General features: G+C 40.6%; 1 long non-coding RNA gene and 2 pseudogenes across 1 annotated transcript in view, besides 1 other annotated feature; all 3 read right to left on the bottom strand.

Moving 5' to 3' along the window:
• On the bottom strand, window positions 357-1,022 carry YWHAQP7 (YWHAQ pseudogene 7; annotated as a pseudogene).
• Window positions 4,971-23,692, bottom strand: part of LOC105369850 (uncharacterized) — a 55,530-nt gene continuing 36,808 nt past the window's right edge. The window contains exon 4 of the long non-coding RNA NR_188081.1: window positions 4,971-5,099. This is a non-coding gene — a long non-coding RNA (uncharacterized LOC105369850). The remainder of the gene's footprint in view (window positions 5,100-23,692) is intronic.
• Window positions 11,325-12,524: an enhancer, noted in NCBI's record as "MED14-independent group 3 enhancer chr12:77001658-77002857 (GRCh37/hg19 assembly coordinates)". NCBI's record gives its function as "activates an origin of replication core promoter dependent on BRD2, BRD4, P300/CBP and CDK7 cofactors, and independent of MED14, by STARR-seq in HCT116 cells {active_cell/tissue: HCT116}" and the evidence as "EXISTENCE:reporter gene assay evidence [ECO:0000049][PMID:35650434]".
• On the bottom strand, window positions 19,872-20,750 carry RPL7AP9 (ribosomal protein L7a pseudogene 9; annotated as a pseudogene).

The raw sequence follows: 23,692 nt of genomic DNA, 5'->3' as shown, positions 1-23,692 counted from the left end.
TCTCAGCTCACTGTAACCTCTGCTGCCTGGGTTCAAGCGATTCTCCTGCCTCAGCCTACCGAGCAGCTGGGATTACAGGTGCCTGCCACCGCACCCAGCTAATTTTTGTAGTTTTAGAAGAGACGGGGTTTCACCATGTTGGCCAGGCTGGTCTCAAACTCCTGACCTCGTAATCGGCCTGCCTCAGCCTCCCAAAGTGCTGGGATTATAGGCATGAGCCACCGCGCCCGGCCATCATGAATGGGTTTCTTTGCTACAGGAAATCCAAGTGGAAAAGGCAATGGAGATGTGTACAAAAGTTTCTTGAAGGGAAGAAAGATTACGCCTTGTATGCATTTACTTTTCTGTCTCTTGGCTGCCACATCACATTTTTCTCTTGCACTGTCTAATGGCCATAATGTTAGGTTGTCTCTATAAGCAACTGCATGATAAGGGTGCTGTCTTTGAATCTTCACTCAGTGTATCAAGTTCTTCTATGGCCTATCAAAAGTGGTTTTAGTCAGTTCGCAGGCAAGCTCTGGGTTATTAAGGATCTCATAGTAAAGTACAGAAATGTTAAGACATGTATATGGATTACATCTCTTTACTATATCAAATGCCTCTTAGGAAGCTCTTTGGGAATTATCTATCATTTGTTTCAACCATCACCACGTGCAACAAAGGTACTGGAAGTAATCTCCCTTTATTTTTGATAAAAGATCGTACTCGCTAGATTAGTTGCATTGGATAGTAAATAGTTATCCAAAAATTGCAGGACAGTAATGCATACGGATCTCAGTTCAGACTTGACTTTCTCCTGATAGTTTTCTGTTGTTTTTTGGTTTGTTTTTTGTTTTTTCTCAGTGATGTGAAGCTCACTCCCAATAGTTCTTGATCAGCTGCAACTTCTTGTCAGAGGTGTTGGTTTTTCTGCTCAATGCTCAAGAGACCCTCCAGGTGGACCTGTAGCCTTCAACAATGTTTTTGTAGGCCACAGAGAGTGAGTTGTGCTCCTCTTTGGACAGCTCTGCAACCTGCTAGGAGAGCCTTCACAATGCAGGTAAAATCAATGATAGCAAAACCCTTGAATCCAAAGTGTTTGCAAGTACTCAAAGCCCCCCTCAGAATCACCATGAAGTCCTCACTTACCACCTTCATTCTTTTCCACTTAAATCTGTGTTTCTATAAGTATCAAGATTTGTGATAAAGATTTCTTTTGCACCGATCCTCGAGATATTAGAGTTGGAATGAGATTTAGAGATCATTTAGAGTTCAAGTTCAACATTTTGTTTACAGTTCTCTGCTGTTTGATGCCCCAAATCTATTTCACAGGAAGCCATTTGCTGATCACCTGGCTTGACCTCTTTCCTGATTCTTCATTTTTCTCCAGTCTACTGGGAATTTTCCCCTGCTCTTATTATAAAGAAAGGCCTGTGTTTGTAGCCGATGTGGGCTCCCTCAATAATTGGGCATGACACATTTCTATTCCCTCTGGTAGGTCTCACTCCTCCCCACTATGAGATGGGTTAACTGCTGCATTTCTGTGGCCTCAAGTTCCCCTCGTCTTGTCACACTAGGGACCCTGAGACACAAAGGGCTGCACAGCTGTCAGCTGATTTGAGCTTGGGGCTTCAGTGGCCTTTCAGAGTTTTCCCAATGACTGCCCTCCAAGTGGTTTCTACAAAGAAGAAAACAGTTTCTCCTTTGTTGAAGGCTTCCTCCTCCTGTCCCATTATTTCCATCTATGGCGGAGCCAGGGGGTACCTGGGGACTGTTGGCTCCATAATTTTATTAGTGCCCTCTCCCCAGTTCTTTGATATTGACCTTTGACATTCACTCAGTCTGATGTAAAGTACTTTGCAAAATCAGCTTTAAGGCCCCCCTTCTAACAAATATCTCTCCTCAAATCCAACCTAAGTAGGACTTCTGGAGATATAGCCTCTTGGAGATAATTTAAGCAGGGGAATGTTTCAAAGTAGAATGTTTGCTGTCTTTCCTGATGCCCACCCTTTCTTTGAAGGCTTCGTTCCTCTAAACTGGATAGAATTAGAAGTGCTTCAGTCTTATCTCTAGTTTTCATTGTGTCCAGGAGCAAGAGAGTCCTGCATCAGAACGCTGCTTCTCTTTTAGGTCACTTCACGTGATGTTCTTTGTGGATGATCATCTTTGTGGATGATGTTGATGAGTTAGTAGCATGAGGTTAGAGCCTTTCTTAGTTTCACTGTAGACAGTTTCCTTCTATAATTAGCTTCTTTCAGTTCGTTTTAGTGGGTATAGGAATAGGAAAGACTTTTTAAAAGTCTTCCTACGCTTTCATTTACAGATGAAGAAACTGTGGGATGGAGAGGTAAAATGATCTGGTCAGATTCACACAACCAGAGAGTAGCCGAGCAGAGGACTGAACCTGGGGCTACTGTTTCATTGACAAACACTATTTTCCTATTCTGCTTAATAGCCAATATTATACCAGTTTTTTTAAACTGCCTTTCTATTTTAAAATATTTAATTTTTCAGTTGCATTATGCATTCATTTGGTGGACTCACCTCAGAAGTAAACTGTTTAAATCAAGTTTTTATGGGAAAATGCACTTCTAAATTCAAATAGTCAATTTCCTTATGAATCTTTGAAACAGCATGTAACTCCTTGCAAAGATTTCAGGGTATCAGTTGAACACTGTAAAATTTTTATGTAGAAACAAAGTAATTCCAGGCACTTCTGCTGAAGGGACAGTCCATGCACAACAGGTGAGGGGATTTAGTGGTAACCAGTTGGGTTAGAAAAATGGACACATTGTCAGCACACAGTCTTGGTTGGTGCAGTGTTCAGATCCATACTTTGGGTCATAAATTACTTATCTCAATATGCTCTTTTAATTATGTTCTCCTTACTCCTCTTTTGTTGTAGCACCTACCTTCTGTCAGGAGTGGTATTAAAGTTGCAAACAAATTTTTGTCAGAACATTTGGAACATTAAGTTATATGAATGCTAATTCATATGTTATATGAATGCTAATTAATAATAACAAAGAGGCCAGGCATGGTGGCTCACTCCTGTAAGCCTGTAATCACAGCACTTTGGGAGGCTAAGGCAGTAGGATCACTTGAGCCCAGTTTGAGACTACCCTGAGCAACATGGAGAAACCCGAAACCCTGTCTCTACAAAAAATATGAGAATTAGCCAGGTATGATGGCAAGTGCCTGTAATCTCAGCTACTCAGGATGCTAAGGTGGGAGGATCACTCGAGCCTGGGAGGTCAAGGTTGCAGTGAACTGTGGTTGCGCCACTGCACTCCAGCCTGGGTGACAGAGCAAGACCCTGTCTCAAAAGATAATGATAACAAAAATAATAATAACGAAGACAAAAGTTCCCAAGTTGGAAAATATTTCCTTAATGAATTGCTGTAGAAATGAGGGGGGCAAGCCCATCTTCAACCACTTCAGAGCTTCCATAAAAATAATAGTAAGAAGAAGAGCTACCATTTACTAAGTGTTTACTTTGTGCCAGCCATTACTCTGAGTATTTTACAAACATGTTATTTGATGAGGTAGGCATAACTTTCCTAGAGAGGAAACACACAACCTTTCCTGAGAGAGGTCACACAGCCAGCAGGAAGAAGACCTAAACTTTAAATCCAGGTTGGTCCTATGGCAAGGCTGAACATTTAACCATCACCCATCCTAAAATGTGATGCTTTCTCATTCCTAAACCCCAGGCCCATATGCTTTGTATTCTTTCCAAATGTGTTTCTCCGTCTTCCGGAAAGGTAGAGCTTGGCTATTGGAACTCCGTGTCTTTTTACCTTTCAGAGTAGGACATACATCAGTGCCACTCATTCTCATTCCTTCACTTTCTGTTATTCATGCTTTTCTTATTTATGCTTTTCTTATTTCCATTGTGAGTCTAGATCTGGTTGTTCCATTTCTGCCTGAAGGGCCCTCTCCTAACCCCCTCCATTCCATCTCTCCAGCTGAGCCACTCTCATCAAGGGAAAGCTTAAAGACTACATCACCCAGCAGAGGTTTTTGACCAAACATTCCCGAGGCTTCCCTTTCCTTCAGCACTTATTGAGAGTATAGACCTGTGCCTGTCCTTTTCCTGTGTGTATAGTTATATTGTTTCACTTAAACCAGCAACTCATTGAAAATAATTATTATTATATTATTGAGTTTTTTGGATAAACTCAAAATAGTAGTTTTAGTAAAAACATTTATGATTATTAAAAATAAGTGATGTGTATTTATTCTGCATAAACTTGTTAGAGTTCACATTTTTTTGTTAGTTTATTTGGAGACAGAGTCTTGCTCTGTCGCCCAGGCTGGAGTGCAGTGGCATGATCTCGGCTAACTGCAACCTCCGCCTCCCAGGTTCAAGTGATTCTCCTGCCTCAACCTCCCAAGTAGCTGGGACTACAGGCACATGCCGCCACGCCCAGCTAATTTTTTGTATTTTAGTAGAGATGGGGTTTCACCGTGTTGCCCAGGCTGGTCTCAAACTCCTGAACTCAGGCAATCTGCCCGCCTTGGCCTCCCAAAGTGCTAGGATTACAGGCGTGAGCCACCGCGCCTGGCCTAGAGTTCACATTTTTAAAAAAATGAATTGAAATTTAAGGAGAAGGTCAATTAAATAATAGAGACTTCTTTTCCAAGAGTAATTAGCCATTGCATCAGATAGGAGATTGGACTAGATAGCTTTTGAGGTTCATTGGAGGCCTATGATTCCACCATCACCCTAGTACCAACTGAGTGGTAGAATGTAGTGGGACAGCAGCAGGACCAAGAACGGTGATTTCAAAGGGCAAAGAGACATAAATAGTGAGTGAGAGCCAGAGTCTGAAATATGAAACAAAGCAGAGATGGAAAGACAAACAGCCACATTTTAATCAAAATAGCCAAACTCATGTGAAATCCATAGCACTGAATCTTCAGAATCCAAAAACAATCCATGTATTTGTCCGTTTTTGCATTGCTATAAAGAACTACTTGAGACTGGGTAATTTGTAATGAAAAGAGGTTTAATCGACCCATGGTTCCACAGGCTGTATAGAAGCATGGCTGGGGAGGCCTCAGGAAACTTACAATCATGGCATAAGGCAAACAGGAAGCAGGCATATCTTACGCAGCTGGAGAAAGAGAACAAGAGAGTAGGGTGAGGGGCTACATACTTTTAAACAACCAGATCTCATGAGAACTCACTCACTATCATGAGAACAGCAAAGGGGAAATCCAACCCCATGATCCAATCACCTCTCACCAAGACCCTCCTCCAACACTGAGGATGACAATTTGACATGAGATTTGGGCGGGGACACAAATTTCAAACCATAAAAATCCAATATAATTTTCTTTTTAATCTAGGCAGTCTCATTATTTTATGTTTCCAAATAAGACCCAGGAACACTGATAGTTTACAGATCCAAGAATCTTTTGAGAATTTTTACTTGGTTTGGTTTTGCAGATTAAGAGGTAAGTTCTTATTTTCATTGTTGTTTGCTGTTTCACTAGAGAAAACTATGTCAAATAACCCTTATGAATGCAATTAAAAATAAAAGCACTGTTGGCAGCAATATGGCAGTGTAGTGTTAACATAGTACCAACACAACAAATTATGGAATCATTCCATTTGGTTCCACAAGCTTTGATGATAGGCCAGATTAAAAATCTAACTCAAATAATAATAGAAAGGAAAAGGAAGCCTAAGAGAAGAAAAAGCAGATATTAGCTATTAAACAGAGTGTCACAGTAAAGTAAGTGTACTTCATCCTCTCTCTCCCACTGAATGCAGCTAAAAACTCTGGAAAGAATGCACAGAGCAGTTATCTAAGGACTCTGGAAAGTGTATGGTCATGACAGACTAGGGAAGGAAACCAGAACTTGAAGTACTGCCGAACTGGTGGCAAGCTTTCTGTTATCCCTCCTCCAGTATCTCCTGTCCTGGACTCAAAGGCAGTCTGAAATCTGGAACCGCACAATGGGTGCAGAAAGAAAGTACTCCAAGAGGAGTCCTCTAATTTGGTCCACAGAGTGGAAAAGAGGGTCCTTATGGGTCAGAGATAGTAGAGAAAATTTTCTGGTTTTTTTGCCCCCATTTTTCATTCTCTCTTGTACCGTCCCCTGGCAATCTTGTAACAAGAAAAGCAGCCAGGCTGGTGTCTAAAACTCCAAGAGAATTATTTAGTGTGATCAAAGGAACTATAGTCTCAAGAATGTAAGACTATATATTTGGATTTCTCTATATCTCTATTTTTCTTTATATATTTCCTCACTGCTTAGCCCCAAATGGAAATGCTGTGCACGGCAGGGCAAGGAATCAAAAGCCCTGGATTTCTAGCCAGTGAACCAGGAAGGGGTTATGCTAGGAGCTTGAAAGTATCAAGGTGATTGTGAAAATAACAAAGTTCAAGAAAATAATCCTATAAAATTGTACAAACTTCTGGGCTAACCCCCAAGGTGCACATGCATAAATCTGACCCTAAATAGCATACTAAAGGATTTGATAACTGAATTATAGGGTAGGCCACTACACAAGTCCAAGACTGGCTATGGGGTGGCCCAGACCTGGGACAAATCCAAATAGCACTGTAAAGATATGAAAATGGAACTGAATTAGAACTATAGCCCACAGAAGGATAGTAGGAACTTGTAGTCTAAACCTAACTGGGTTGATTAACTACAAAAATTGTTTTAAAAATCCATTTCATAGGATTTAAAGGGTTGATTAACTACAAAAATAAAAAAAATCTATTTCATATGATTTAAACAGGATTCAGAGTCACATAAATTAATAGTCAAGATGTTCAATATATAATCCAAAATTACTTAGCACATGAAGAATCAGGCAAATCTCAACATTTCACAAGAGAGAAGACAATTAATAGTTGTTAACTCCAAGATTATATAGATGTTAGAATTCTCAGACAGCTTTTATAACCACACTTCAAGAGATGAGGACAAACACTCTTTGAAAAAAAATAATGTCAACTTTTATTTTAGATTCAGAGGGTACATATACAGGCTTGTTATCTGCATATACTGTGTGATACTGAGGTTTGGGGTACAACTGATCATGTCACCCAAGTCCTAAGCATAGTACCCAATAGTTTTTTAACACGTATCCCCCTCCATCTCTTGCCCCTCTAATAGTCCCCAATGTCTATGTTGCCATCTTTATGTCCATGAGTACCACTGTTGAGCTTCCACTTACAAATGAGAATATGCAGTAATTGCTTTTCTGTTCCTGCATTAATTTGCTTAGGATAATGGCCTCTATCTGTATCCATGTTGCTGCAAAGAACACGATTTAATTATTTTTTATGTCTGCGTAGCATTCCATGGTGTACCACATTTTCTTTAGCAAATTCATAAACTCCCTCCCTTTAAACCAGTGGAAAGATATAAGGTCTTCAAAGAGGAATAGAAGATATAAAAATAAAAACACATAAAAAAACACACTAAATGGAAATTTTAGATATGCAAAACAAAATAAAATTTAAAATTCACTAGATGGCTTCCATAGCAGAATGGAGATGACAGAGGAAAAACTCAGTGAATTTGAAGATAGGTGAATTGAAATTACTCTCTCTGAACAATGTAGAGGAAAAGTTTTTTTAAAAAATTAACAATACTTCAAGGACCTGTGAAACAATACCAAAGTTATAATGTTTATATCATTATAATATTAGAAGGAGAGAAGGAAGGGTGTGACACAGAAAAAAAATATTTCAATAGAAGTTGAAAACTTCCTAGATTTGGTAAAAGATATAAAGGTGCGGATAAAGGAATCTAAGAAAACCTCAAACAAGATGAACTAAAATAAATAAATAAATAAATAAATAAATAAATAAAAGATAAAAAGTCATGCCTAGAGACATCATAATCATGCTGCTGAAAGTAGCCAGAGGAAAAAGGATACATCTAAGTGGAGGATCAGTAAGTTTAATGATTGCATATTTCTCATCAGAAATCATGGAAGCTAGAAGGAAGTAGAATGACATTTTTCAAAGGGGTTAAAGAAGAGAACTGTCAATTCAGAATTCTAAATCAAGTGAAAATATACCTTGGGGATGACAATAAAATAGAGATATTCTCAGATGAAGCAAAACTTCTAGCATTCTTTGCCAGAGCGCCTGCTCTGAAATCATGGAAGCTAGAAGGAAGTAGAATGACGTTTTTCAAAGGGGTAAAAGATGAGAACTGTCAACTCAGAATTCTAAATCAAGTGAAAATATACCTTGGGGATGACAATAAAACAGAGATATTCTCAGATGAAGCAAAATTTATAGCATTCTTTGCCAGAGCACCTGCTCTAAAAGGAATACTAAAAGAAGTTCTTCACATGAGAGTACAATGATACCATAGCAAAACCTGGAACCTCAGAAATGAAGAAGGGAAAATAGTCCATTATATTTACTTAGTTGTCTACTTTCTCCTCTTCAGTTATTTTAAATATCTATGACAGTCAAAAATAAAAAATATACAACATTGTCTGATACTCCTAGAACTTTGCCTCATCAGTATCTCAGATCTGGGCAGGCTTATGACTTGCTTGTAACCAGTAGGATGCAGCAGAAGTGACACTATATGACTTCTGAAGCTGAGTCATTAAACGTTACGCAGCTTCTGTCTTTTTGGCTGGAACACTCTGTTTTGTAACCCTGAACTGCCATATGAGAAATCCAAATACCCTAAGGCCATGATGATGTGAGAACACCCAAACTAACTCATGCAGAAAGACCAAATGGAGAAAGTCAGAGGCTATGTGAAGAGAGAGAAATGTCTACACAGCCCACAGCTGCTTTAGTCCTCCCTGTTCCCTGCTCCAGTCTGCTCTTACAGTTTCAATCACTGTGAGCCCACATTAGCATGAGAAACCTTGGTGTTACCCAGGCCTGGACTACATATCATACAAAAACCCCTAGAACCAGGCAAACCTCTAAAATCCAGAAGATACCACTCAAACATATCAGACAAAATAAATATTATTTGGACATGCACCCAGAAATGAGTTTGCTTTCTTCACAAAATGAAATTTTGCAGAGTTTTCCACTTCCCCAAGAGAACATAAAAATCAAATTAGTTTTTCTTCAAGTAGCACTGATGCCCAGCCCCTGAGAATCCTCACACACAGCAAGCCTATGTTACAGAAATGAAAACACTCATCTTTTAAATATGGTGTGGGAAAGAATAGGAAATAAGGACTCATGGAATTTAAATGCATTTCCCAGTATTAGGGATCAGTTAATGAAAATAAATTGTATGACAGCAATAGGATGGGAAGCAATAAGAATGGGAAGTAGTTACAACCCCAACTGATTCTAGTTAATGAGACAAAAACTCTCACCTACCTGTTTGAAAAAGGAGACCAAGAGAATCATGAATGTGCTCTTCATTTGACCATAAAGCAGAGGGAAAGGCCATTTTAAACTTCTCTTCTGGCTTAACAAAGAAATCTGGCAAACATGTAATTGCCTTTTAAATAGTGGAGATGTCAGTTTGAATACAATTACTAGGGAAACAAGTTCTAAGATAACCAATTAGAATTGCAGACTGCCAGAGGATATAGAGAAACTTCAGAGGACATAGCCACTCTGAAAAGACTCCTTTGTACAAATATCTTTCACAGAGAGTTTTTAATAACAGAAAGGAGAACAGGGTTATACATTTTTACAAGTGTCTCCAAACTGAACAGAATATTAAGACCGGGACTTTTGTGAACGTCCTCGATTCATCCCTTTATCAGAAATACCTTAATGCTGCTAAATAGTGTCTGCTTCTCTGCTAGGGAAGAAAGAACTTCCCCTCCTCCTCCTCCTCTTTGTCTTTCTGAGATTTCTCATGGGTAGTTGGAGAGAAATTGGCAGGCCTGAGAAGCCTAAAACTTACTTTTAAAAAAGTATATTTGTTAGAACATTTCATGGCAAGTGATAGAGACTGTTGACAAAAGGAGTCAAACTCTGTACAATATTTTAAAGAGATTTATTCTGGGCCAAACATGAGTGACCATGGCCTATGACACAGCCCTCAGAAGATCCTGAGATCATGTGCCCAAAGTGATTAGGGCACAGCCTGGTTTTATACAATTTGGGGAGACATGAGACATCAATCAAATACATTTAAAATGTACATTGGTTTGGTTCAGAAGGGTGGGACAACTTGGAGGGTTGTGGGGTGGGGGGCGGGGGGTTGGGAGGAGCGTCTAGGCTATTGGTAAATTTAAACATTTTCTGATTGACAGTTGGTTGAGTTTGTCTAAGGACCTGGGATCGGTAGAAAGGAAATGTTTGGGTTGGCTTGTGGAGACCACAGTTTTTTTTTGTTTTTTTGTTTTTTGAGATAGGGTCTCGCTCTGTCGCCCAGGCTGGAGTGCAGTGGCAAGATCTCAGCTCACTGCAACCTCTACCTCCCAGGTTCAAGTGATTCTCCCACCTCAGCTGCCTGGGTAGGTGAAACTATAGGCGCCAGCCACCATGCCCAGCTAATTTTTGTATTTTTATTGGAGACGGGGTTCCAGGTTGGTCTCAAACACCTGACCTCAGGTGATCTGCCCGCCTTGGCCTCCCAAAGTGATGCGATTACAGTGTGAGCCACTGCACCTGGCAGTGTAGAGACCAAAGTTTTTTTTTTTTTTTTTGAGACAGAGTCTTGCTCCGTCGCCCAGGCTGGAGTGCAGTGGCGCGATCTCGGCTCACCGCAAGCTCCACCTCCTGGGTTCACGCCATTCTCCTGCCTCAGCCTCCTGAGTAGCTGGGACTACAGGCGCCCGCCACCACGCCTGGCTAATTTTTTTTGTATTTTTAGTAGAGACGGGGTTTCACCGTGTTAGCCAGGATGGTCTCCATCTCCTGACCTCGTGATCCACCTGCCTCGGCCTCCCAAAGTGTTGGGATTACAGGCGTGAGCCACTGCGTCTGGCCAGAGACCAAAGTTTTATTGTGTAGAGGAAGCTTTTAGCTAGCAGGCTTCAGAGAGAAGAGGCTGTACAATGTTTTCTTATCGGATTTAAAAGGATGCCTGACTCTTAGTTGATTATCTCCTGGATCTGGAAAGAAAAAAAAAAGGGCAGGGAAAGGCGGTTCTCTACAGAATGTGGATTTTTCCCAAAAGAGACAACTTTGCAGGGCCATTTCAAGAATATGACAAGGAAATACACTTGGGTTTTAAAATATTTTGATTTATTTCCTTGTTATGTGATGTTATGCCAGAGTCAGGTGAGAAAGAAGGTCAGATTATAGAGGGTTAAATAAAACCTCTCTGATGAGACTTTATGGTTTGCAGGGTGTGTCTCCCCCAGGCCCCTTAGGTAGGAATTTGGGCAATATAAGAAAAAAAAAGTCAGTGTTTAGTCTTCAAGACCCAAATGAGCTAGACTGGTGGGGAATGGGGGATTTATAATAAGTAATGAGTTTGCCTCACAGAACCCAAGGACAGAGATACAGCAGGACTTCAATGGCCAGCTGGAAGCAAGGCCCCACACACCATCAGGAAACCAAGAGGCCCTCCTTCGCAGGCCTCAGCTTCCCCTCCAAGTCTCCTTCATTCTTCAGTCTCTGCACACTGTCTCTCCCTGTTTTTCGGGACATGGAGCAGAAAGTATTAACCATCAACAACTCCCACACTAGATTATATCTCCTATGTTTGAAAGAGTTGAAATCTTTGGTCTCAATTCCAAATCTCAAAGGAAGGAGTCTCATTGGCCCAGTTTGGTCCCCAGCATGTCCCTAGAATGAATGTCTATCCCTAAGAGGAGAGAAGAGTGTCACAGTTGAGGAAGACTGTATCTTCATATGGATTGAGGAGGTGAGCTCCAAATTCCCAGAACACAGAGAAAGAGGACATTTCCTAGCAAATCAGAAGACTTGGTCCAAAAGATGTTCTATGGATGCCTCTCTAATTAATAAGCAGATTCTTTAAAAAATGATTCTACCTTAGTTGACTGCATTTATGCCTTTCATGAATAAAGTCACCCTATTCCATCGGAAATATAATGTACTCTTGATAGATTCAGGAGGCAGATGAGGGAGGGTACTCAGAGAATCTCCAACTCACCCCACAAGTGTTTACATCAGATGCTTTTCGTGCATATGAGAGAACCTGCCCAGGGCCTTGTCTGGGCATGCCCACATCTGACTGGGGGACCGCCCGCGCACTGGGAGAGTGGGGTGGAGCCACCGGGAATTCGCACCTTGAGCACGGCAGAGGAGCCTAGCCTCTTCACCTCGTGTGTGCTGGCCGGGCATTCAGTCTGTCAGTTGGGAGCCTGTTGGCAGGCCCCCTTTTCTTCACTGAGAGCTTTCTTTTAATAAATTTCACTCTCCTCACCTTTCAATGTGTCCACATGCTTAATTTTTCGTGGTCATGTGACAAGAACCTGGATTTTAGCTGAATTAGGGAGCAAAAAATCCTGCATCACTCTGTATCAGTATATTTCAGGTTTATTATCAGTACTTATTTGTGATGGTTGGCGTTTTCAAGGCAGTATTTATAGCCTCACTCAAATAAATTCATGTTCCCATTTCAACTGATTGATTTGGAAGAAAGGCTCACATGCTTATGTGTCATTCTGACCCACGTGAACTCTTCACTAAAAAAGTTAAAAGTGTTTCAAGCTAATAAACACTAAGAAGCAATGATCTTTTCTTGCTTTATTGGGGGAATGAAAGGAGGGGAATCAAGAGAGAAGAGGCATTTTTCAATTTACCAAGGTTTGAGCATGTATATTTAATTTTTACCTGAGTGATCTATTTTCTTCTACTTATTATAGTAATCTATTTTCTTAATTTCAAAAATATGAAATAAAAGTCATTTAGGAAACATTCAGTAAAAAGTTGCTGTTGCCTAGCTTTTCCATACCTGGAGAGTTTGGAATTTCTAGCAGAATACAAAGAATGGGAGAAATTTTGATTGCCCAAGAAAATGGCCATTCATTCATTCAATCAACAAATATGTATTAATCTCATGCTATTGCCTGGTGCTTGGCATACAGTGATCAGTGAAATAGACAAACTCTCAGCATTTCTGGAGATTACATTCTAGGAGGAGAGATGGCAAATAAACAAACAAATACATGAAATTGTGTCATGTGGTGATAATCAATATAAAGGAAAATAAAAAATAGTATAAAAAGAGAGAGTGAAAAGGGTGCTAGGTTAACCATCGTGAGCAATCAAGGAAGCCTCTTTGGAAAGGTGATACATGGGTAAAACGATAAACCAAAGGAGAGTCCACCATGCTAATATTTGAGAGATAAGGGCCTTTGAAACTGAGTTTTGGTTGATTCCAGACAGGCTCTAACAAGCTTTTTAAAGTCTTCAGGTGAATCTTTCTATGGGACATCTTAGTTTGGGCAAGGAGGGCAATGGTTCCTATACCCTCCATCAGCCCTCCACTGCAGGCTCTGGCTCTGTTCCATGATTATTCTCTTGCTTCTCTTTGGCCACAAAAAACAATTACTCTGCCAAGTGCCTCAGTTATTCAGACTTTCTGGAGAATGCCACAGCTATTTCCACCAACCATAGATGGCTATCCTCAGAATGGCTGGGGCATGGTGGGGGAGAATGCAACTTTTATTCTCATCTCCATATCTCTGTAAGCTGCCCAGACAGGTCCACAAATAAATATATAATCTAAGGTATAGTATACTTGTACATAAGCCACTTCAAAATAAATCCCCAAGGTGAATTCCACCCCCACCTCCCATCCTCAAACATATACACAGGAGAATGCTGCTCCCAATGCCCCAAGTAGGAATTCTGGCACCAACACTGACTGGCCTCATGTGATTCCAGCTTATTTTGGTCTCCATAGCTAGCTTTTCCTACTGAATTTACAGTTCCCATTTTGTTGTGGGCTAGATTCCCCAAGAGCAGACTCTAAGACTAACTTAGCATGCATGACGCTCATTGAGGAGTCCCTTGGTATCAGCACCTAGGGAAGGGAAGGGAAGGAAGCAGGATTGTGCAGCGGGAGAAGTCAAGCTGTGATCCAGTCCCAAGGACAGATTTGGCTGACTCCACAGAGAGCTCTAGAGCTGGAATGGCCCTTCAGAAATGTCTCAACATGGGTCATGATGGCTAGACCTTTATTCTCCCACATAGATCAGTTATTGTGAGGAATCCCAAGCCACATACAAAGGCCATGTGTACCTGTTCCAGCCAAAAGCCTTAGCTGAGGTCACAGCCAACAGCATGCATCCACCCACACATATGCGGATGAAAATACCTGTAAGGTGACTCCCGCCCCAGCCATAATCTGACTGCAACCACACAAGGACAGTCGGCCCCTAGATCCACGAGAGAAAATAATAACAAATAGACGGTTGTTCTCTGCTACTAAGTTTAGGTGGTTTGTTATATAGCTATAGATACCAGAACACTGAAGGATTCTCCTGAGAGGGTGAGGCAGGTTTATCTCAACATTTTCTAGTTACAAGCACTTAATTGTCTTAAGACCTAACCATCATCTCAAAGTTCCCTTCAAATATTTCTCCCAAACAACTTTTATATCCTTCCAAATAAGGCCAGGTGCGGTGTCTCATGCCTGTAATCCCAGTACTTTGGGGGGCTGAGGTGGGTGGATCACTTGAGTCCAAGAGTTTGAGACCAGCCTGGCCAATACAGTGAAACCCCATCTCCACTAAAAATAGAAAAAATTGGCCAGGCTTGGCGGTGCACGCCTGTAATCCCAGCTACTCGGGAGCCTGAGTCAGGAGAATCACTTGAACCCGGGAGGCGGATGTTGCAGTGAGCTGAAATCACGCCACTGCACTCTGGCCTGGGTGACATAGTGAGACTCTGTCTCAATAATAATAATAATAATAATATCTGCCTTTAACATTTCTGAAGTAGGTGATAATTTTCTTGTGGTAGATGGCATACATATATTATTGCCCTGAGGACACTAAAAAAAGACTTATATTCTGTTGAACACATCTGCACTATAGTACAAAGCCATTTAGCTGTATCCAGTGGGATACTGTAGTTTATTGTTTTGCCTTCTATCTGTTCACATTTGCTATTTCACCCTCAAGCCTTGCTACAGTAAGTAAGCCAATTACTTTCAAGAAAAAAGTCAATTAATACTTTAAAAAAGGTTTCTTTAAGATGTTAGAAGTTTTCTAATGTTAGTATTTCATATGTGATTTCATTTTACAATTGATTTTGAGGGCAGTCAGTAGTGGGAGGGGCTTGAATTTAAGCAAGGCCTTATGCTAGACATTGACTATTTTTGAGGAATTGATATAATTCCGTGAGGCTAGGGTGAGCAAACAAAGGCAAGAGTGGCTGGTGATGAGGTTGCCCAGATAGCAAGAGGTCAGATTATGCAGGGCTATTTTAAAGATTAAGGTTTGTGAAGTTCTTGCCACAATTCTGCTAAAAGAGAAAAAAGAAACCCAAAATGGAAAAATCAAATAAAGATGCTAGATTTTATCCTAAATAGAAGGGAAGCCATTGAAGGATTTACACAAAATAAGATGTTTTAAGTTACATTTTTAAAACAATGCGGTATCTGTTGTGTGGAACATAGAAGGGAGACAAGTTAGGAGGCTATGGCAGTCACCCCAGGAGAAATGATAGATAAGAATTAGGAGGACTGATGATTGATTAGATATGGAAAGTAAGAAAAATGAAATTATCAAGAATGATTCCCAAGTTTTGGGGTGAGCAGCTGGAAGGAAAGGCAGAAAGAGAAGTGCAATTGAAGGGGAGGAAAAGATTAAAGGTTTAGTTTTAGCCATGTTCAAATTCAGATGTCTCCATGAATGAAACTATCAGGAAAGACTAGTTGGAACCCCAAAGAGAGATATGGGCTGGAGGTGAAAAAAAAAAGTTCAATCCAAATTGCAAATGTGCTCCTGCATTTTTTGTTGTTTAATCAAATATACTTTTTATTTATTTTAGCATCTTCAAATATTATTGTTCAGCTTTGCAGAAATGAAGAGGATATTGCTTATTTGTAAGGTTACTGTGAAATGTCTGCCATCTTGCTGACGGTCATGGAGAATACTATAAGTCTATCTCATTCGATGGCATGAAAACAATGAAGGCACAGAAACTGCCAAGATGAGAAACACAGTCTTTTTTGTATCATTGTCTTACTAACAAACATTTATATCCTTATCTATATTTCTTACTGGGGAAAACTTGTTGCCATGTTTACACCTAAATCACATCAAAGTTGTGCAACATTTAAAAGATGTATCAGGGTGATGCAGGAGGATAGCTTGAGGCCAGGAATTCAAGACCAGCCTGGGCAACATAATGAAACCCTGTCTCTACAAAAAATAACAGAATTAGATTAATTTTGTTATTTAGTTGAACAAAAAAATTATCTAACAAAAATAACAAAATGCACCTGTAGTCCTAGCTACTTGGGAGGCTGAGGTAGGAGGATTGCTTTAGTCCAGAAGTTTGGGGTTGCAGTGAACTATGATTGCATCACTGCACTCCAACCTTGACAACAGAGCAAGATCTTGTCTCTTAAAATAATAAAATAAAATAAAATAAACTTTATCAAAGGAATCTTTAGTTTTATTAAGTATGTAAACATAATTTTAAAAAATAAATTTAATTCCAAATACTGGATTATCCAAAAACTACATCCAGGAAAGATGTAGTCTTATGGATCTTTAACAGCTAATAAGTTCATATTTCTTTTTTTCCCCGGTAACAGTGAGTGAGTGCTGGAACCAGCTTTCACAGGCCCATGAGAGCCAAATGTATGCATCTCTTTCCAACTCTACATTCAATGATGTCAGGTCGGTAGCTCGAAATCGGCTATGGTGGGAGTGTTTACACTACAGAAATCAACAAACACTTCAAATAAGTGCTTTTTTGTTCACCAGAATATATACCTATATCTCTTTTCTCTCTTGATTCCTCCAATTAAAAAAGAAAAGTTTTCATGGAATACTTACTAAAAAGCCCAATTTATTTTGTTTAAGTACTCATTTCCAAACTTGGGGAAAATTGAACCTTTTAGGAAATGCTATTTGAGTTTTACATCTTCCTTTTTAGTTGGAGGAGTCCAGGTTGAATGTATATGTTATTTATTATTAAAACCATTACATAAAAGTAAGATATCTCAAATTATTTGGGTTATAGTGGAACCATTACCAATCCTGGCATTTAGATTTCTGGTAAAGATAACTCTCAGCTTATAGGTATTATAAATGACTATATAGCTCTAAAGTTGGCACCAGGAATCTAAAAGCTCTATATAAACATCAATGAAGGAATATGTGCTTTAAGACCTACCTGGTCTATTTGTAGAGGGGCAGACTCAAGAAGTTTAAGTTCTTATCACATTTGTCTGGTTACTCAGAAATAGTCCCTCTGATGTTTTTTAAGGACAGTGTGATCAGCTCAACCTTACAACTAGTTACATTGTTTTCAAGGGACCTAAGCTATAAATGTGAGGGAATTCATTTTTTAATTTTTAAAATTTTTCAATTAAATTTTTTTTGAGATAGGGTCTCACTTTTCACCCACACTGGAGCGCAGTGGTGTGATCTTGACTCATTGCAGCCTCGACATCCCAGGTTCAAGCAATCCTCCTACCTCAGCCCCACAGGTAGCTGGGATTACAGATGTGCACCACCATGCCTGGCTAATTTTTGTATTTTTTATAGAGACAAGGTTTTGCCATGTTGCCCAGGCTGGCCTTGAACTCCTGGACTCAAGCAATCCACCTGCCTTGGCCTTCCAAAGTGCTAGGGTTATAAGCATGAGCCACCTGTGCCCGGCCGAATTCGTTTGTTTTTTGGTTTTGTTCTTTTTTTTTTTTTTTGGAGACACAGTTTCACTCTTGTTGCCCAGGCTGGAGTGCAATGGCCTGATCTCAGCTCACCACAACCTCCGCCCCCCGGGTTCAAACAATTCTCCTGCCTCAGCCTCCCGAGTAGCTGGGATTACGGGCATGTACCACCACACCTACTAATTTTTTGTATTTTTAGTAGAGATGGGGTTTCTCCATGTTGGTCAGGCTGGTCTCGAATTCCCAACCTCAGGTGATCTGCCCACCTCGGCCTCCCAAAGTGCTGGGATTACAGGCATGAGCCACTGCGCCCAGCCTGAATTCGTTTTTTTAAACACAAATCTCTTATTAACACTTAAAGACAAGTCTTAGACCAAAAGCTATTGGATCAGGGTCTTTATGTTCAGTTCTCTACCATGCCATATTCTAAAACAGGATTTTTAAGCCTTATGGGTATTCTATGGTTTGAATGTGTTTCCCCAAAGTTCATGTGTTGGAAACTTGGTCCCCAGTGCAACAGTATTAGGAGGTGGGACCTTTGGGAGGTGATTGGGTCATGAGGGCTCTGACCTCATTAATGAATTAATTCATTCACAAATTAATAGATTAATGGATTAATGGGTTATTAAGGGAGTGGATTAGTTTTCACAAGTGATTTCATAAAGGCTCAGGTCAAAGAAAATGCAGCTGTCTGCTTTCTGAAGCAGAAATGAATGGGCCTGTTTCATGTCAGCTGAGATACAATATGGCAGAGAAATTCCTTTCAGTGGAAAAACCCACAGGTTCCTTTGATAGCCTTCAATGGTAAGAGATGATGGTATTCTATAATTGGTGCAAGTGGAATGAGAGGTAAACGGGGATGCTAACAGAAAGGGGATTCAGGTGAGATTATATTAGAAGGCAAAGGAGACAGCATTATTAGACATTAAGGGTGAAAAATGGAAAAGTTTTACTAATGGAATGCCTTCACAGTCAGGCAGATAGAACTTTCACTTCCTTGAGATAGCCATTCTTGTATCTCCTACACCTAGCATAAAATCTCAAAAGATATTTGTTAATTTTTTTTTTTTTTTTTTTGAGACAGGGTCTCACTCTGTTTCCCGGGCTAGAGTGCAGAGGTACAATCAGGGATCAATGGAACCTCCATCTCCCAGGTCCAAGCAAACCTCCCACCTCAGCCTCCCGAGTAGCTGGGACTACCAGTAAGTACCACCATGCCCTGCAAATTTTTTAAATTTTTATAGATAAAAGGTCTTGCTATGTTCCTCAGGCTGGTCTTGAACTCCTAGGCTCAAGTGATCCTCTTGCCTTGGCCTCCCAAAGCACTGGGATTATAGTCATGAGCCACCATGCCCAGCCTCATCATGTTTTTTATTGGTGATTATGACAGAGATTAGGAGGCACTATTCAATCACTTCATGCTATATGGTGTTATAGACTGAACATCTGTGTTTCCCCCAAAATTCATTTGTTGAAGTCCTAACACCGAATGTGATGTTATTTGGAAATGGGGCCTTAAGGAGGACATTAGGATTACATGGTAGACCCTCATGATGAATTAGTGCCTTTATAACAAGAGATACCAGAGAGCTTACTCCCTCTCTCTCCATATTTGAACAAAGAACAGGTCATGTGAGCGAATATACAAGGAAGAAGGCAGCCTTCTTCAACCCAAGGGGAGAACTCCCACTGGAAACTGATCATGCAGGCACACTAATCTCAGACTTCCAGCCTCCAGACTGTGAGAAAATAAACTTCTGTTATTTAAGCCGCACAGTCTATGGTATTTTTTTTTTTTATGGCAGCCTAAGCAGACTAATGCATATAGTCTTCTCATTTTGTTAGGGTTTGAATTCAATATAGTAAGAAAATTTTCCTGTTTCTAGGATTCTTGTCAGACACTGTTGGAGGGAAGAAAAATTCACCTGTACTGTTTTAGGGGCTCTGCTTGCTACGCTCTTTTAGAAAATTTGAGGCCTGTGGTTTAGTGTTACTCAGTCATTGTGCTTCCCTCACCTCTCCTTTTGCAGATTAAAGGAGCCTGAAGTAAAGATGCAAGAACATGTCTTGGGAAAGGTAATGTGGCTTTACTTGTAAATAATTTCTCCCCCCTCTTAAGAACCAAATGTTTCTTTGTTTTTTTTTGAAGGAGAATTTGTATTATTTTTATTATTTTTATGTACAGAAAGCTCAACAGTGCATACTTAACCCAGTTTAATGGCAAGTTCATTCACCTTTGCCTTTTCCAGCTTGGCAAAGTGAGCCACAGATTTGGGACCCAGGACATTGCCTCCCCAGTGACAATGGATCTCATCATATCTGTCGCTGGAATTGGTCCTGATAGCTTCCACCAGCTTAGCCAAAGCTCCTTTGTCTTCTGAGTTAACCTCTGTGAAGGCGACAGTGGTGGAGGTCTTCCTGTGGACTAAACATCCCAGTCTTGCCTTCCCCTTGATAATGCAGTGGGGGAACCCCATTTTATGACACAGGACAGGCAGGAAGACAACCAGCTCAATGGGATCCACGTGGTGTGCCATCACCACCAGCTGAGCCATCTTGCACTCCACCAAGGTGGTGATGGCGTTAACTCCTGCTCGAAGGACAGGTGATCTCTTAGTGGGGGACATCCCCTTTGCTGGCAGCTTTCTTCTCAGCCTGGGCCAACAGTCTCTGCTTCTCTTGCTTTGTTTCTGGTCTGTACTTGTGGGCCCGCTTAAGCAGCCGAGTAGCTATGTGGCGATCCAAGGCCTGGGTGAACTGGTTAATTGTAGGAGGCACTTTCAACTGCTTATAGAGGATAGCTCTTTGCTGCTGCAACCTGATATAGTGGGGGCATTTGACAAAGCAGGTGAGGCACCTTTTGGGGCTGGATGTCCTCTCCAGTGCCAAAATTCTTAGGCCGTTTCTCAAACAGGGAATTCACCACTTTCTTGGCATCCTGCTTCTTCACGACAGCAGGGGTTGGGGCCACCTTCTTCCCCTTGGTCTTCTTTCCTTTCGGCATCTTGGCTGGTGGGAGGGGACCAAATGTTTCTTAAATAGGTTACAGCAGGCCGGGTGTGGTGGCTTACGCCTGTAATCCCAGCACTTCAGGAGGCTGAGGTGGGCATATCACCTGAGGTTGGGAGTTTGAGACCAGCCTGACCAACATGGAGAAACCGTGTCTCTACTAAAAATAAAAAAAAATTAGCTGGGCGTGGTGGTGCACGCCTGCAATCCCAGCTACTAGGGAGGCTGAGGCAGGAGAATTGCTTGAACCCAGGAGGTGGAGGTTGTGGTTAGCCGAGATCGCACCATTGCACTCCAGCCTGGGCAACAAGAGCGAAACTGCACCTCAAAACAAAACAAAACAAAACAAAACAAAAGGTTACAGCAGAGGTCCCCAACCCCCAGGCTGGTACAGTTCTATGGCCTGTTGGGAACTGGGCTGCATAGCAGGAAGTGAGCAGTGGGTGAGTGAGAGAAGCTTCATCTGTATCGATAGCTGCCCCCAACCACTCGCATTATCACCTGAGTTCCACCTCCTGTCAGATCAGTGGTGGCATTAGATTCTCGCAGGAGCAGGAACCCTATTGTGAACTGTGCATGTGAGGAATCTAGGATGTACATTCCTTATAAGAATCCAGTGCCTGATGATCTGTCATTGTCTCCCATCGCCCCCAGATCAGACCATCTAGTTGCAGGAAAGCAAGCTCAGGGCTCCCACTGATTCTGCATGATGGTGAGTTGCATAATTATTTCATTAAATATTACAATGTAATAATAATAGAAATAAAGTGCACAATAAATGTAATGTGCTTGAATCATCCAAAAACCATCCCCTCAACCCCAGTCCATGGAAAAATTGTCTTCCACAAAACTAGTCCCTGGTGCCAAAAACGTTAGAGATTGCTGGATTATAGCCAAAATTTAAAATTTTCATGGTCAACATCTTCCATCATTTGAACTTTGAAGATCTAGTTAATCTTATCTCCTCTTCATTTCCCTTCATGCTGTTGGCAGATAGGTCTCCTTTGTGGAACATGATCACATCACACTTTTGCTTTTCTTCATGTCTGACAAACCTTCAGAGCTTCTCTGGTTTATATAAATCCTACCAGTCCTTAAAGCTCTATCTCATGTCTGAGACTTTCCATGAGGCTTTATCTGATAATTCTGTGAAGTAAAACAACTAGTATTTCTTTGCTATAAAAGATGTCACCCACACAACCCTAGGCATCAAGGGATTAACAGTAATGCCCTCAGCTACTGCATGAAGGAAGTTTAATTGTGTTACACAAAAAGTGTCATGGGCCTTTACTTATGTGGGATCTATGTTCAGTTCGGACTCCAACCAGAAAGACCCCTCCTACTGGAAAAACCTTCACTCTTTGTTAACAGCCCAATGGTCAGGGAACAGATGACAAAGTCCTACAGGGAGAGTGCAAAACCAGAACACTCAGGTTGGAGAGATTGCGCTGCAGAATTATCCAGCCATTCTCAGCTTCAACAAGTAAAGGTTTATGTACCTCTGTAATGGGAATGATAACAGTTTATTCATCAGGGTTTTCTTTTTACTATATAGAGTAAATACAATGAGATGTGGAAAAACATTTTGTAAAATACAAAAGGGGAGAAAGACAGGAACTTATATATATTAAGAATTCACCAAGTGCCAGGCAGTGCAATGTAAAGCCTGTAGCACAGATGTATCTTTCCTCTTGGTGAATCCCTGCTCACTGCACTGTGTTGGAGCATCAGCCAACTGCAACATTAATCTCCAGACTCTTCATCCTCTGTGTTTCCTTTAGGAAGAGTTCCACACTTTGATCTTCAGACTTGCTATTAAGGGCATTCTCTGCTGTTTGTCTAAATTTAAAGTGGTTTCAAAGGACCTTATGTAGCTTTTTGTTATTTTTTAATGACTTTAGTATAGTTATAATTCAAAACTGTTTTATTTGCTCTTTTTAAGGGGTGACTTTTTAGTTAAATAATTTTATTACTTAATATCTCTCTCAGGAAAGTCGTTGCCCCAAGAAGAGCCAGTGATCACAAGCCCTTCCTAAGACAGATCTCCTAAGCAGGCACTAAATGAATCCCTGGATACAATCATAGAGTAAAGACCAGTAGTCTGTGCTAACAGGCACCATGTCCTTTCATTCTATGAAAAGGAAAAGGGAAGGAGGCAAATAGGTACTTTATCAGTATAGAGTCAAAAGAGAAGGGCCATTCAGAACCTGGGTTCAAATGTCATTACATTGCTTCCGGTTTGACCCTGGGAAAGCTACTTAACCTCTTTGCATCTTGATTTCTCTTATAAAAATCCACATACTAATACCAAAGCTGATGTAAGGATTAGTTGATGTAAAATACGTAAAATTTAGCATAATAACTGACATACACACTCACTCAATAAGTATATATCATTTTATAAGAGCAATCTTTGTGATGTATGAACCACAGAAGAGCTATATATCCCTGCTACATTTGTCCAGAGAAAAACTCCACAGGAAATTAAAATAACAACTGCACTTTAATATATTTATATTGCAAAGAGACATATCAAGCCAGTGTAACTAAACCACAATCTTCTAATATCTGTTAGGTTCCAGTTCTTGTAAATGGTATAAAATTTACAAATAGGCCCCCGCTGAGTATAGCCACTTATATGCCTAACAGGTAGAGAACTGAACTCATCATCTTGCCTCACACCAACTGTTCCTTTTTCTGATTATCTGATTTCTATTAATAGTTCACCATTCTCCTAGTAATTCATGCTTGAAACTGTAATTATTTTTGACAAAAACTTCTTCACCACTGCCTACTGATCTTACTTGCACTCAAAATCTAACTCCATCCATCTCCATTTCTGTGCCTACCCACCTAGTTCAGGCCTCCAACCTGGTTTTCTTGCTTCAAGTTTATTTTTTCCCACCAAATTCTTCCTCCATATAAATCTTAAGCAGACTCTGATATTGAGCCTGTT

Source organism: Homo sapiens, chromosome 12 (assembly GCF_000001405.40).
Source record: "Homo sapiens chromosome 12, GRCh38.p14 Primary Assembly".
NCBI classification, from domain to species: Eukaryota; Metazoa; Chordata; class Mammalia; order Primates; family Hominidae; genus Homo; species Homo sapiens.
Note: the sequence above shows the minus strand (reverse complement) of the source record. Positions and strands in the feature narration are given on the sequence as shown.